The 16,413-nt window shown below is 34.0% G+C and overlaps 1 long non-coding RNA gene across 2 annotated transcripts in view; it reads left to right on the top strand.

The window, feature by feature from the left end:
* The window catches only part of LINC01608 (long intergenic non-protein coding RNA 1608), an 89,744-nt gene that overhangs the window by 9,630 nt on the left and 63,701 nt on the right, over nt 1-16,413 (top strand). The window contains exons 2-5 of one of the 2 annotated variants that reach the window (NR_125417.1): nt 2,772-2,900; nt 12,155-12,274; nt 13,035-13,143; nt 14,354-14,390. This is a non-coding gene — a long non-coding RNA (long intergenic non-protein coding RNA 1608). The remainder of the gene's footprint in view (nt 1-2,771; nt 2,901-12,154; nt 12,275-13,034; nt 13,144-14,353; nt 14,391-16,413) is intronic. The other variant, NR_125416.1, reaches the window with a different exon arrangement.

Genomic DNA, 16,413 nt, shown 5'->3' with positions numbered 1-16,413 from the left:
TTACATTTTAGAATATGAGTTCTAAATAGGGCCAAAAGAAATGCACATGTAGGTATTTAATGTTTTTGGCATCAAGGAAATTATGAAGACCTCTGTACCTTAGAAAAAGCTATAGGGTGAGTCTAACCAATCTCTTGATTTTCTGAGCAGATCAGTATGACATCCCTAGCTGTAACTGTAGGAAGATTAAGATTTTATATTCTTTTAGCATTGATAGAGGATTAATGTCAACTTGCCAATAACCTTTTACATATTATATTTGAAAAAAGATGGGTCTTTCAACATAGGCTGCCCCTAAAAAGAAAGGAGTACTATTTGTTCATCTAGTCAACATCAGGCCACTGAGGAAAATACTCAGGTATTATTTTTATTGTCTGTTTAGTCTGAAAAGCCAAAACAAATGTTGAAAGATACCACACACAATGGCTGAAGTATCATGACTGAAATAATAAAAAGAAGAAAGAAGACCAATATAAATACATAAGTATATTGCCATAAAGGAGAGCTTAGTGAAAGCAAAAGAGAAAACCAAACCAAACAAAAGATTCCAGAAAAACATTAAGTTACACAAAATAAATTTAGAAATTATAAAATAAATTTAAAGAAATCACCTCTTTCAGAAAGAGATACAAAATAACTTTATATTTTGAAATACAAAACAAATAAAATATGGCACACACCCTGGAATGAAATTAGAATGATTTGAAAAACACAGAGATAAGGTTAAAAGACATGACAAAGAGTTCCAGGAGAGCAAATATTTAAATAATAGAAGTTACAATATAGTAAACATCAACAGATGGAGGAGAAATAATAAGAACAGGAATGAATGAAGAAAGCTTTCTACACCATTGATGGAATTGTGTTTCAGTTGAAAAGGTTTACACAAAACTTCAGGAGTAATACTGAAAAAGTAACAAATAACATATGCTGGTGAAATTTCTGAAATCCAAAAAAAATAAATTTTAAATACATTTTAGATAGAACAAATAGCAAAGTAAAGTGATATGATAATTTACATTTTTATCACCTAAAATTGGAAATATGATTAATATTTTTATAATAGGTAAAATAATGCTTCTTAGAAATATTTATAGTATCAGCCGAAATTTAAAATTATCCTACCTATAAGTAAATATAAGGAATGGTGCACACCAAATTATTAATTTTGATTTCTCCAGAGAATGCAATATGAAAAAGGGTGCAAAATATAATTAGAAGAGGTAGAGGAATTCTGTTTCTGGCTCTGTTGGAGTAATTTGTAATAGAATTACTTTACTACTGTAGTTTAAAAGAGTGGTAAAGTATATACATTTGTCCATTTTCAGGCTGATGATAAAAACATACCTGAGACTGGGCAATTTACAAAAGAAAGAGGTTTAATTGGACTTACAGTTCCACATGGCTGTGGAGGTCTCACAATCATGGTGGAAGGCAAGGAAGAGCAAGTTACATCTTACGTGGATTGTGGCAGGCAAAGAAAACTTGTGCAGGGAAACTCCTCCTTATAACACCATCAGTTCTTGTGAGACTTATTCACCATCACAAGAACAAACATGAGAAAAGACTTGCCCCCATGTTTCAATTACCTCCCACTGGCTCCCTACCAACACACGCAGGAATTCAAGATGAGATTTGGGTGAGGACACAGCCATACCATATCATTCTGTCCCTGGCGCTTATCAAATTTCATGTCCTCACATTTCAAAACCAATCATGCCTTCCCAAGAGTCCCCCAAAGTCTTAAGTCCTGTCAGCATTGACTCAAAAGTCCAGTTCAAAGTCTCATCCAAGACAACGCAAGTTCGTTCCGCCTGTAAGCCTGTAAAATCAAAAGCAAGTTAGTTACTTCCCAGATACAATGGGGGTACAGGCATTGGGTAAATATAGCCATTCCAAATGGGAGAAGTTGGAAAAACAAACAAACAGGAACTACAGGCCCCATGAAAGTCCAAAATCCAGCAGGGCAGTCAAATCTTAAAGCTCCAAAATGATCTCCTTTCACTCCATGTCTCACATCCAGGTCAAACTGATGCAAAAGGTAGGCTCCCATGGTCCTGGGCAGCTTCGCCTCTGTGGCTTTGCAGGGCACGGTCTCCCTCCCGGCTTCTTTCATGGGCTTGCATTGAGTGTCTGCGACTTTTCCAGGCACACAATGCAAGCTATGAGTGGATCTATCATTCTGGGGTCTCCAAGACGGTAGCACTCTTCTCACGGCTCCACTATGTGGTGCTCAAGTAGGGACTCTGTGTGGGGGCTCTGACCCCACATTTTTCTTCTGCATTGCCCTAGCAGAGTTTCTCCATGAGGGCCCTGTCCCTGCAGAAAACTTCTGCCTGGGCATCGAAGCCTTTCCATACAACTTCTGAAGTCTAGGTGAAGGTTAAAAACCTGAATTCTTGATTTCTATGCACTGGCAGGCTCAACACCATGTGGAAGCTGCCAAGGCTTACAGCTTGCACCCTCTGAAGCCACAGCCCAAACTCTACATTGGCCCCTTTCAGCCATGGCTGGAGTGGCTGGGATGCAGGGCAACAAGTTCCTAGACTGCACACAGCATGGGGACCCTGGGCCTGGACCCTGAAACCACTTTTTTCTCCTAGGCCCCTGTGATAGGAGGGGCTTCTGTGAAGACCTCTGACATGCCATGGAGACATTTTTTCCATTGTCTTGGGGATTAACATTCGGCTCCTCATTACTTATGCAAATTTCTGCAGTTGGCTTGGATTTTTCCTCAGTAAATGGAATTTTCTTTTCTGTCACATTGTCAGGCTGAAAATTTTTCGAGCTTTTATGCTCTGCTTCCGTTATAAGGAGGAGGCCTCACAATCCTGGTGGAAGGCAAGGAGGAGCAAGTCACATCTTATGTGGATGGCAGCAGGCAAAGAAAGCTTATGCAGGTAAACTCCTCCTTATAAAACCATCAGATCTCATGAGACTTATTCACCATCATGAGAACAGCACGGGAAAAGACCTGCCTTCATGATTCAATTACCTCCCACCAGGTCCCTCCCACTATACATGGGAATTCAAGATGAGATTTGGGTGGTGACACAGCCAAACCATATCAGTATATGAATTTATTATTTTCAGAGGCTGTAAAAACATGTAGCAGAGGATTAGGATTCCCAAGTTATGGAAAGCAGGCAAGATAAACCCTAGAGTCACAGAACACACAAAGGGCTAAAAGATGCTTATGTTAGAATTTGCAAATGTAAAGACACCTGGACATTTAGTGAAAACTTCACAGTTGCAATGTTTCAGTTGTACAGCTAAAATAGTCCAAGTCAGCTGTTACTAAAACACTTTAGGAAAACTTAAAAAAATTCAATCAATTCACAAATAAATTGTCAGTAGAAGCAAAGAACATCACCATTTACAGGAAAAAAAAACACAATCACTCAAAAGTATAATAGTTATGATACCAAATGTCCAATCAAATATACCATCATGCAAAGGTAGGAAATTGTGGCCCTTAAGAAGAATAAATTCAATTAGTAGAGAAAGAAACAACATAGATAATGAAAAATATAAATATAAAATTAAAAGACATCAAGAAAAATTCTGGGAGAAATAATACTCAAATAATAGAACTTATAAGATAAATAAATGTAAAGAAGTAGATAAATTATAATTACAGTAATGATAGAAAATGATGAGAAATGATAAGATTGGTGAAAGAAGCAGGCAAGGACTTTACAGCAGCTATTACGAACAAGAAAAATGAATGTAATGAAGTGAAAAATGGAAAAGATAAAAGTGACTCAAATCAAGCTACTGGAGATGAAAAATACAATAACAGAAATTAAAATTATACAGGATGAAATTAAAAGCAGTTTAGAGAAAGGAGAAGAAAAAATAAATATATTAATAATTAAATGCTTAGCAATAAAAACAATCTAAACTAATGTAAACAGCAAAAACAACTAAAAAAGATAGAGCCCAATTGATCTGAGATAATCTAGGGCAGTCTGACATACATGTAATTTAAGGCCCAAAAGATGAAATGCAGGAATTAGAAATGTATTTTGTAAAATATTGATTTAATATTCAAAACTTGATAAATCATTATGTTCAAAAATGCAAAAAAGTTTATACAATCAGAAAAATGCAAATGAAGCCATAATAAGTACAATATAAAGACACTTCTGAAAACCACGAATGAAGATAATATCTTTTAAGATGCCAGAGAAAAAGACATATTACATACAAGAGAAAAAAATTAGAATGACAACCAATTTCTTGAGAGAAACAATGAAGATAGATCCTGGCACAGAACAGTGGATTATCACAGTAACAGTCAAGCACTAGCTCCAATTTTTATCGTGTGCCAGTGTAGTATCAATTTCAGGAGCAGATTAAAATAGCTTCAAGCACGTGCTCTGCAGCCATGGATCTGGCAAATGTGCTTTTCCAGACATACAAAGAAAGAGGAAGAGGAGAAGTTCACATTTACCTAGTAGGACTAAGAGTTATAATTTTAAAGTTTTGTCTTAAGTCTTTGTTAGATCTCTAACTTGATGTTTCAGTATGGAAGAACATGGACAATCTGAACATTTCTTAGAATATGACATTTATCCTCTATCTTGCTGACATCAGGCTAAATAGATTGAAAGAGCAAGGTGCAGCAAGAACTTTGGTGAGATGCATGCATTCCACAAGATGGGAGATGAATTCTATCAACACTCCAGGACCTTACACATCGGTGGTCTGGAGCATGCAGGGACATTTTGTCCAAAATAAAAATTATAGTGTCTCATACCTCCAACCAAAGAAGAAAAGATGATATATGGTGGACTTCTTCATGATCTAGAAAATGCCTTGCTAAATGGGCCATACAAACAAGCAGACCCTATGTAGCTTACTTATTCCCTTACTTATACTTAATTGCAACTGATATTATTAGTTATCCTAGGTGGAAAAAGAACCCACGTGGAGTTTCTAGTAGTTCCCAGAATGTTCTGGCATACGCCTATACCACTTGCAGCAGAAAATTATACATATTACCATAAACAGTTCTAATCATCCTAAGAAATGTAATGATGAATATCTGATCATGACTTGTCAAGCAGAATTGCCTATCATAGGCTGTCTTTTCTTACATCCTAAAACTTATAAGGTTCAGGGAGAACAAACTGGTTCATTTAGAATTAAGTGAGATCAGGGCCAGAGAGCTTAAGTGAAGTGCACGAGCCATGACCCAGATTCCCAAATGATCCATCACACTGCAGCTCTTTACAAGCCCATATCTGTGGCCAAATGAAGAGTTTCTTGTAATCAACGGATGGAGGAGAAAATGCCAAAATTGGTTCTGTAATGGGTCAGCTAAGTGTATGGGTATATGCTGAAAATAAAACACTGCTACACTACAGCCCCATTTAAGTACTTGGAAAACAGTCATCAGGGGAAAACACCCTAAACAGGAAAAACTTGAAAGAGTATACATGATCACGTGGTTATCTAATTTCTGGAGGAATATATGAAGTCTGAGATAAGAACATTTGCAGATTTCCAAGTATGTGTGAATGGCTTAGTCCATTGTTCAAGGCACATGGAATGGAATGATTGGAAAATTGTGAGGCGGTGCTCTACAAAGGTCCTGCTTTCAAGACGAAGGAGCTTATTCCTAAACTTCCACAAGTGTGGGCTGCCTATGAGAATCACATCTTCTAGACTAAACGGAGCTGCCTTGTGAAAGTTTGTCTCCCTCCACAGGGAGGATGCTGGATGACAAAGGCATGATCTCCTTTCTTCAATATGGGACATTTGTGAAAGGCCATTTTATCTCTAGAGCTGCCTATAAAATTGGCTTGAGGTGTCAGCCTCAATAAGCTATGCTTGCTCCATTAAAGATTTTATTATCTAGAGCATTTTTTGTTTAAACATCTGCATGTAGTCAGTTTCCCTGAAATCCTGACCTAAGAGTAGATGTTTTATTATACCTAATGCTAAATGATGAGTTAATGGGTGCAGCACACCAACATGGCACATGTATACATATGTAACAAACCTGCACGTTGTGCACATGTACCCTAAAACTTAAAGTATAATAATAATAAAATTTAAAAAATTGCATTGTTATTAATTGTAAAAATAATAATATATAATAAAAAGAAATAAAATACAGCCACTTCAAGCTCTCAAGGCAATTAAGACTTTTTAAATGAATTCCCTTTATTGTGCCAGGCATAGTATTAGACGTTGAAAATACCAAGGTGTGGAGTCATAGTATTTCTTCTCATGAAACGTACTTTTATTTTACCTTTATTTGCTTGATTTTGCAAAATTATAAACTGTGCTTAGATAACTTCCTTGTTATTCCATATATTTAAACAATTTTAATTGTTAATAGGAGAACTGAAGGAGTAATTTGTGGCACACTTTCAGAGCAGAAGTTTGTCATCATGTAGACGAGTGTTGCGAGACTTTCTTTCTTGGAGAATTTAATACTTAGTGACAGATTTTATTCTTTAGAAATTTGGCTACAGTGGTTATTTCTTTACACATCCTGTCTAATTAAAATTGGAACAGCTCATGTAGAAAATGTCCTTAAAGATTCTGAAGTGTTTTAAAATAAGTATTTGAAGGTTTTATTGTTTTTATTTCTAACAGTTCATTTTTGCTTGTTGATTATTTTTCTTACTGATTGATTTGTCATCACAGAAAACAGTTATATTCATGCCAATGCAGTAACTTTCTTTAACTGTTTAGTGTTTAACTTTCCAATGTTTCTAATTTTGTTAAATTATTCTGTTATAAAGCTGTACTTTTCTTTGTAATTACTTAGTTATATTTGGTAAGAGGAAAAATTGAGAGATCTATAAAAATAAGCAGGAGCAAATTATAAAGGATAATTAGAAACTGGAAAACAGTGAGCACAAAAGTACTATATGTATTATAGGTATCAAGGTTTTTTTGTTTGTTTGTTTGCTTTTTAAGCTTCCTATCAGTTTGTCTATGAAGAACAAAATAATGGAGAAAATACATTCAGAGGAAAACAGATTGGCTGTTATTACATAGTAGAAGATAAAAATAAACATTGCTTTTAATTATACCATCTCAGCAAATTATGTATATTTATTTACTTAATTATAAGTAAGTTATAATTATATAATTACAGAAATTATAAAACATTATAAGAACTTATAATGGTGTACTAAATGATATACATGTCTGAAAAAAGCACACAAGATGAACTTAAAAAAAAAATATATATATATATATATATATATATATATATATATATATATATATATGTATGTATTTTTTTTTTTTGAGATGGAGTCTCACTCTGTTGCCCAGGTTGGAGTACAGTGGGCAATCTCAGCTCACTGCAAGCTCCGCCTCCCGGGTTCACACCATTCTCCTGCCTCAGCCTCCCGAGTAGCTGGGACTACAGGCGCCCACCACCACACCCAGCTAATTTTTTGTATTTTCAGTAGAGACGGGGTTTCACCGTGTTAGCCAGGATGGTCTCGATCTCCTGACCTCGTGATCCGCCCACCTCAGCCTCCCAAAGTGCTGGGATTACAGGCATGAGCCACCGCACCCGGCCTGAACTTAAAATATTTTAACTCTGGATCTAATTGAACCAGCATGAGTGATTTGCATTCTAAAATATCATGGCAATTGGTTTTTAAAAATGTACTGACCCCAGTAAATTAAATGTAGGATATACTTGATGATGTCTATATTTCTGAGCTACTTAATTGACATCTTGATTCATTTATGCATATGGTTTATTATGCACACAGTCTAGATTTATGGTTGACTTCAATTATTTTTCTATTAGAGGAGATCTGAGTAGCATAATATTTTGGAGAAAATATGAAATGAAATTTTTTCTTGTGAAAGATATAGTGTATATTAGCTTTATTTCTGACTAACCTATGGATAACTATAATCAAACATGTATCAAGTAGTACCACTGAAGAAGTGTTTGAGCTTACTGGGAACACTTATGACTCAGCCTATTACCCTGGCATAATTATTAATAAAGAGCTTTTTGTCCTTCTTAGAAGTGAGCCATTTGGGGTAACACCTTACACTGTCATACTATGTTTAGGTAATTAATTTGTTCTTCTGAATAAACTCTCAACTCCTTTCTTACACCCAATTTTACACAAATTTAGTTTTAATTACTGCTTTAAGAGCTCTCTGAAACCAGGAATTCATTTCTGAGGCATAGTAAATCCTGAGACCACCATGCTCACACAGTGCTATCATGTACTGTATGAACTTTGTAAAATACAGCTTAATCTTATTTTATAATTTAAGATGATTCAGTGATTACCTTGGTCCATGTCATTCACCTGGTAAGTGGTGTCTGCATTATTTAACTATTTTAAACATTCATTCATTTGTGAAATGTTGGGTACCAATGATACTCATGTACTGCAGTTGCAGAGATGAATAACATGTAATCTAGGAACTCAAAAAGTTTAGCATCATTGTGTGGGTGACATATGATTTGAATTAAAGCTTCTGTTTCTTTATCTAGCATTCTTACCACCATACACATCGCTTCTTTAACTTATTTCAAATTAACACAACAAATACTAAGAATTTTATTAGCTGTGGTGTACATCCTAGGTTTATGAAGTAAAATATACTGTTTCTTTTCTCCCACGGTGTATTATTTTTTATATCAGAATGCATGACCCTGTAGTATTTTTGTAGCACATTTACTAGAACTATAAGGTATTATATTTAATGTATATGTTTTTACCATATTTATAAGCTATCTCTTTCTACACAATTTTAACATGTGCTCTCACACACGTACACATCTGCATTTTATCTTCCATAAGAGAAGTACTGATTATATATGAATAATAATATACAAAAGTAATCATAATTACCACATAAATGAGCAGTATTAGAATTTAGTAATAAAACATTTTGAATTTTTTGTTCGTAAATAGGTATGGTACTGATAGTCACACATGTGTATTATTATCTTTAAACAAAAACCTCTTAGAATTCATGAGATATAATATTTTCAAATTTTATGTTTTCAAGAGAGATATTTGCCTCCAAAATTCACTCTTATATTGTTGCGTTTTTAATTTTATCAAGATAACCAGTTGAATTTAATGCATATATGGTGCCATTTCTTTCAGATAAAATTGTTAACATCGCTTTAAAAAGATTAGAAATTTGAGGCCAGGCATGGTGGCTCACACCTGTAATCCCAGCACTTTGGGAGGCCAAGGTGGGCAGATCACTTGAGGTTAGGAGTTCGAGAGCAGCCTGGCCAACATGGTAAAACCTCGTCTTTACTAAAAATACAAAAATTAACCAAGTGTGATGGCACACGCTTGTAATCTCAGCTACTTGGAATGCTGAGGCAGCACAATCTCTTGAGCCCAGGAAGTGAAGGTTGCAGTGAGCCAAGCTCCAGTTTGGGTAACAGAGCAAGACTTCATCTCGAGAAAAAAAAAAAAAGTTAGAAATTTGAAATGATGCCAGAGTCAATATAAGATGCAGTTTTTTGCCTTACATTGCATTTGATGGAAAATAAAATTGACAGGTCTTTGCAAAACTAGTCATATAACTTTATTTGGGCAAAGCTAAAATTTCAAGAGCAAATAATTCATTATTCATAATTAAATGTTATATTGAAACATCTTATTCAAGTTCAAATGTTATTTATCTTAGAGTGACCAGCAAGCAGAAATATGTTTTGTTTTTACTTTTTACATATGAAATAAGGTTAAATTTTAAATTCACCTAGAAAATTTTAGATTGCAATGAATACCTTCTTTCTTATTTTGCAATAATTGTTTTTGTGTTTTAGAAGAGTACTTAAAATTCAGAATAGCATGAAGCAAACACTTTAATTTTCAGACATGTATTTCACAACATCATATCTTTTGGAAGAGAAACATCAACAGTACATTCGTTAGAAAAATAAATAATGTGTCTGGGCATTGTGGCTCTCACCTGTAATCCCAGCACTTTGGGAGGCCAAGGCGGGCGGATCACTTGAAGTCAGGAGTTCAAGACCAGCCTGGCCAACATGGTAAAGCCCCGTCTCTACTAAAAATACAAAAATTAGCCAGGCGTGGTGGCATGCACCTGTAGTCCCAGCTACTTGGGAGGCTGAGGCAGGAGAATCTCTTGAACCCAGGAGACAAAGGTTGCAGTGAGCCAAGATCATGCCACTGCACACCAGCCTGAGCAACAGAGCGAGACTTGATCTCAAAAAAAAAAAAAACAATAAAAATAATCAATAAATACATAAAGTATATATATTAAACCTTAATATGCATGTTACCTATGATACAGCAAGACCATTAATTTTAACAGCATATATGTGTTTAGGTATTCATTGTAATTTAGCTAGTGGGAGCAGTTAACTAAAAATACACTGGAATTCCATTAATAGGATAACAAATAAAATATATGTTGGATGCATAATATAGAATACTAAATAGTCAAAAGCAAAATGAATATATATTCAGCAATGTGATTAAATTTAAAAATCATAGATATAGAAATGTAATAAGAAAAATCTAAAACAATATAATTGGAGCTAATTAAAATAATCTATTCATACAAAAACAGTGTTACATGTATTACCAGAAGATATATCTCAATAATACATTAAATGAGTATTCACCTGAGAGAGAAGGAGATAACAAAGAAGGAGGAATTTTTAGTATAATTTAATTACATTAAACAATAATAAAAATGTCCAATCAAAAAATAGGATAAAGTTTATCCTATTAATGGAAATGAATCTGAAATCTAAATGGAAATGAATCTAAAATCTAGAATGATCATAATATGTCTTCAATTGAGGAGCATAATTATCTATATTACCTACTTGGAGTTATACAAATTCCTCCAAAATGACAATTGTATATGTGTATAAATAAAAAATAAACATGTACACCTAATTTATTAAATCATATGTCAATATATATTAGCATTTGTTATATGTTTGGAGTATTGTGTTATAGGTGCCAGAAAAGGAACTTTAAACAAAATCAATTTTTTTCTTTCATGGATCTGACTTTCTACCTCTAGGAAGCAGACAACAAGCATATAACCAGATAAATCAATAATATGTAAAAGTAAAATGTGAAAAAAATAAACATCAGAATAGTCTTTTATAAACTAATATTTGGACAGAGACCTGTATGAAACATGAAAGAAAGATATGCATGTTTATGCGAAAAGAGATTCTAAGAGCAGACAGTGAGTACACCTCTAAAGCAAAAGTTGACGCTTAGTTTTTAGGTGGTAGAAGTAGCACAGGTAAAGCTCTCGATATAACGAGAATATTTCAAGTTTATATTCATTTTTTCTCCAGGTCAAAATTGACATTTTAGACATAAATTTTTAATCAAGAATATTTCATTTGGTGACATGACGGAAACCCAACTCGATCTGTAATAGGCCAAAAGGAAAATCCATTGATTCATGCTACCTAAGTGTAGAAATAAAGAAAAAAAATGACTGTCATCATTGGAATTCAAATATGCTGTTAGGAATTTGTGTCTGTATTATTTAAAGTTTTCAGTCTTCAACATTAGAAATCAAGTTTTGCTAATTCAAGCAGTAAATAAATGGTTGGAAAGAATATTTTGTAGCTCACAAAATTTGCAAGAATTTTCAAGAACCAGACTCAAAAAGTAGGCAGGGAACAAAAAATTTTCTCAGCAAGGCCAAACAATATTTCTCACTAGGGACTGCCTTTGGGACCTTTTGAAATTTATTGGTCCATTTGTGGTTTGAGGATTTGCTATTAACATTTAATATGTGGAACCAGAGATTTTAAATATGCTGCAATGCACCGGGTAGGTCCTAGACTAAGAAAAATGTAGTGACAGAATTAGAACAACACAGAATATTCACTGCTATGTGCCTGGACTCTGAATTCACTGTTCTAAGTAACCTCTATTCCTCTATTTTTACATTATTCTTTCAGTATTAAGCTTCCCAAATTGGGCTATTATTTGGTCATGTATACTTCACATCTTATGGTCTTGCTTTTGGGAATAGTGAAGAGAAAACATCTACTTTATTTCTCTTCCACACTGAGATTCACTTGTAAAGAAGCCGTTTTCAAATGTTAGGTGACTAAAAATTTCAAATCCCTACCACAGTATCTCATGACTGCTTCTGCTTAATTTTATTTTTATAGACACAAAATGAACAAGATGTCTGTGGCAACCCTCAGACCATTGACGCCTTCTCTCCTATGTATCAAATCACACATTTGGACGTTGACTGAACCCTCACATGTCAGATGCTCAATATTGAGGTAAACACAGTTGCCCCATGAACAGCTGCACACAGTCTGTGGCTAAGAGTCAATCTCTACCTTATTTGAACTTTATGGATGAGTTCCTTACAAGACATAGAAGTTTTATTTACAGAATAAGTGAAATGATGCTTGAGAATAAAGACAATAGGCATCCAGTCCTGTCGGTATGTAGACACGTATTTTTTGTGCGTACAAAACTCTAAATTGAGTTATTCACTAATACAGTTTTTACAAAGTTCAGATTTTTAAAATATTTTTTCTGATGAAAAATACCTCAGGATATACATGTAAAAAGTATCTTTAATGCGGAAAGAGGAATGTATAAACAGTTCTTTCCACTTAAAGACCTTTAAAAAATAAACTTTGTTTCTTGTTTTTAAGGCCAAATAAAGTTATATTTTATTGTTGATACACACATCTACATCTTTACTATTGTGTTTGGCTAAAATTGTGTCTTTGAATTTTAAGTGAACTAGGCAAGAAAAAAAGTGTATTCCTCATTTCTATTATTAATGAAATAAAGACTGAATGTAGAGGAGCTAGATTTAAGACCATTGCTTGAAATGTCAACTAATATCAATGGACCATGGAATGTGCAAAGTTGTAAAAAAAAGCTTGCTTTGAAATCTACCAACAAAATATTATTTTAAAAAATCATCCCTAAATCACTCTATAAGATTTTACAGTGGCTTCTAGCATAAATAGACATGCCACATATTGTCCCTCCTAAAACACTCTCATTTTGTATCACTCACAGGTATAGTAAAAGGGAGCATGAACTTGAGAAAATACGCTTTCAACACAAAGCTGTAATAATATAAGGTCAAATAAGATTCTGCATTGGAGATAGAAAACTCTGAAGGAAGGTAAAGCTGTTTTGTCCGTATCCTAAGTGTCAGTAGCTCTGTGACTTTGTGTATTATTTAAATTCTCTAAGCATTTTGTTTTTCAACAAATAGTTTTAAAAATATTAATTAGTATACCTAATGCTATAAAAATAAGAGGTAATAAATGTGATTTGTGAAATCTTTCCTCAGGATTCTTGAAGATCATAGGCACCATACAGAGTAGAAAATTCCAGTAGACTGTAATAACTACTAAAGTAGCATTAATGCTAGATACTAATGGGAGCAAATACAGGAGTACTTACTACAGTGTAAAAAGTCAAAAAAGCTTTCCATGGAAACTAATGTTGTAAAGATAGCGGTTTAAGAAGATAAAGAGGATGATGGAAAGTATTTCAATAGAAATTATAGTATTTGTAAAGTCTTAGAAATGAGAGAGATCCTAGGCATTTGAAAGAGAAAAAAAAGCACAGAATGGTCATAGCACAGAAAGTGTGGAAGTGTTTTAAAATGAGGCTGGAACATTATAATGAAACCAGTTTCTGACATTCCCTATAAGGTATTTTCAAGTTTTTGGCTGAGATAAGTAGAAAGAGCAAATAAAGAGTGAGAAGTGAGGAATAGATGAGGGAGGTGACTTCCAATCCAGATATTCTAACTTCATTTTCCAAATATTTTACGTTATTACATAGATAATACATTTGCCTCCACATTTACTGACCCTTAGCTTTACTTTGATTGTTCTGACAATCATATTTCTCTCTTCTGGTTTCTTGCCTTTCGGTACACATATCTAACTCATGCTTAAACAAAAGCCTTTCCTTTGATAATAACATACATGTTATTTAAGAATTAATGGGTTTTTTAGAACAGGTTTAGTTTCAAAGCGAACTTGAGAAGGTACCGAGATTTCCCATATACCCTCTACCCAACACGTGCATTCCTTCCCCCATTATCAACATCCCCCAACTAGAGTGGTATATTCATTACAGTTGATGAATCAACATTGACACAAAATCACCAAAAGTTTATCATTTACATTTGGGTTTGCTGTTGATGTACATTCTGTGAGTTTGGACAATTTACCCTGACATGTATCCACCACTATAGTATCACACAAAGCACTTTCATTGACCTTAAAATACTCTGTGTACCAACTATTCATCATCTCCCCTCCTACCTGCCCACTGCCAACTCCTAGTAATCATTTATCTTTTTGCTCTTTCCATAGCTTTATCTATTCCAGAATGTCATATAGCTGGTATAAGGTATGTACTCTTTTCAGATTGGCTTCTTTCATTTAGTAACATGCATTTAAAGTCCTTCAATGGCTTGAGAACTCATTTCTTTTTAGCACTGAATAGTAATAGTTCATATTCTAGAAGTACCGTATTTTATGTATCCATTCATCTCCTAAGTGTATCTTTGTTGCCTTCATGTTAGGGCAATTATGAATAAAACTACTATAAATATCCATGTGCAGGTTTTGTGTGAACATAAGTTTGCAACTCCTTTGAGTAGACACCATAGAGCACACTTGGTGGACTGAATGCTAAGAGTATGTTTATTTTTATAAAAAACTACCAATCTCTTCAAAAGTGACTGAGCCATTTTACATTGCGACCAGCAATAAGTGATGCTTTTGTTCCACATCCTTGCTAGAATGTTGTGGTGTCTGTGTTCTAGATTTTGGTTGTTCTAATAGGAATGAAGCAATATCTCATGGTTGTTTTAACTTTTATTTCCCTTTATTATGACATAAGGTGGGAATTATTTCATATGTTTATTTGCTACCTTTATGTATTTTCGATAATATGTCTGTCAAGGCCCGTTTTTTAATCAAGTGTTTTTGTTTTCTTATTGTTGAGTTTTGAAAACTCTTGGTATCTTTTAGATAACAGTCCTTTATTATATATTTCTTTTGCAACTACTTTTTCCCAGTCTATAATGTCTTCTTGTTCTCTTGACATTGTCTTTTGCAGAGCAGACATGTTTAATTTTAATGAAATCCAGCTTATGAATTATTTTTTCATGAATCATGCTTTTGATGTAGTATCTAAGAAGTCATTACCATATCTAAGGTCATCTAAGTTTTTCTGCTATGCTATCTTCTAAGAGTCCTATAGTTTTGTGTTTTACATTTAGGTGTGTGATCTATTTTGAGCCTGTTTTGGCAAAAGGCATAAGATCCGATTAATTTTTTGCATGTGGACAGCCAATAAGTACAGCACAAGATCCTGATCTTTTAAAACGTACTCCCATGGGTTATACTATTTTTGAACCAAAACTATTTAGCAGATACAATTTAACCCCACTGTATAAATAGATTGAAAAAGTAAACCAACAAACCATTTTCCACTTTTTTCTGTTTTCTCTCTGCTTCTAATGCTGTACTTGAATTGCTTTGCTACTCAGCATCCTTTGACTTATCATTAATCAGTTCCAATGAAGAAGCTCATCATGGTCAGGTTTTAGTCAGAACTTAATGCCCTTGTCTACCAAGTGTAACCTGAAGTCTTATAGTCACATCTCTCCTTTATATATAAACTATCATCTAAAGAAAACATCACTCTATATGTGAATTTATGTGTCTATCTAGTTAATTCAAAATAAATTAGAAATATATGCATACATTTTATGGATCACACATAATATTTATCAAATCAATACACATTTAACAAAATGACTGTTAGTGAGATTATTCATAACATATAAATTGCCAGAACAAAAGAACCATGTCTTAAAATTTTCTGACAGAAACTTGACAATACATAGCATCTAGCAAAGTTGTGGTCTCTTGAAAGCATTTAGCAACACTTGTTAAACAATCTGATCTTTGACAAACCTGACAAAAACGAGAAATGGGGAAAGGGTTCCCTATTTAATAAATGGTGCTGGGAAAACTGGCTAGCCATATGTAGAAAGCTAAAATTGGATCCCTTCCTTACACCTTATACAAAAATTAATTCAAGGTGGATTAAAGACTTAAATGTTAGACCTAAAACCATAAAAACCCTAGAAGAAAACGTAGGCAATACCATTCAGGACATAGGCGTGGGCAAGGACTTCATGTCTAAAACACCAAAAGCAATGGCAACAAAAGCCAAAATTGACAAATGGGATCTAACTAAACTCAAGAGCTTCTGCACAGCAAAAGAAACTACCATCAGAGTGAACAGGCAACCTACAGAATGGGAGAAAATTTTTGCAATCTACTCATCTGACAAAGGGCTAATATCCAGAATCTACAATGAACTCAAACAAATTTACAAGAAAAAAACAACCTCATCA

Source organism: Homo sapiens, chromosome 8 (assembly GCF_000001405.40).
Source record: "Homo sapiens chromosome 8, GRCh38.p14 Primary Assembly".
NCBI classification, from domain to species: Eukaryota; Metazoa; Chordata; class Mammalia; order Primates; family Hominidae; genus Homo; species Homo sapiens.
This window is presented reverse-complemented; position numbering and strand designations above follow the sequence as displayed.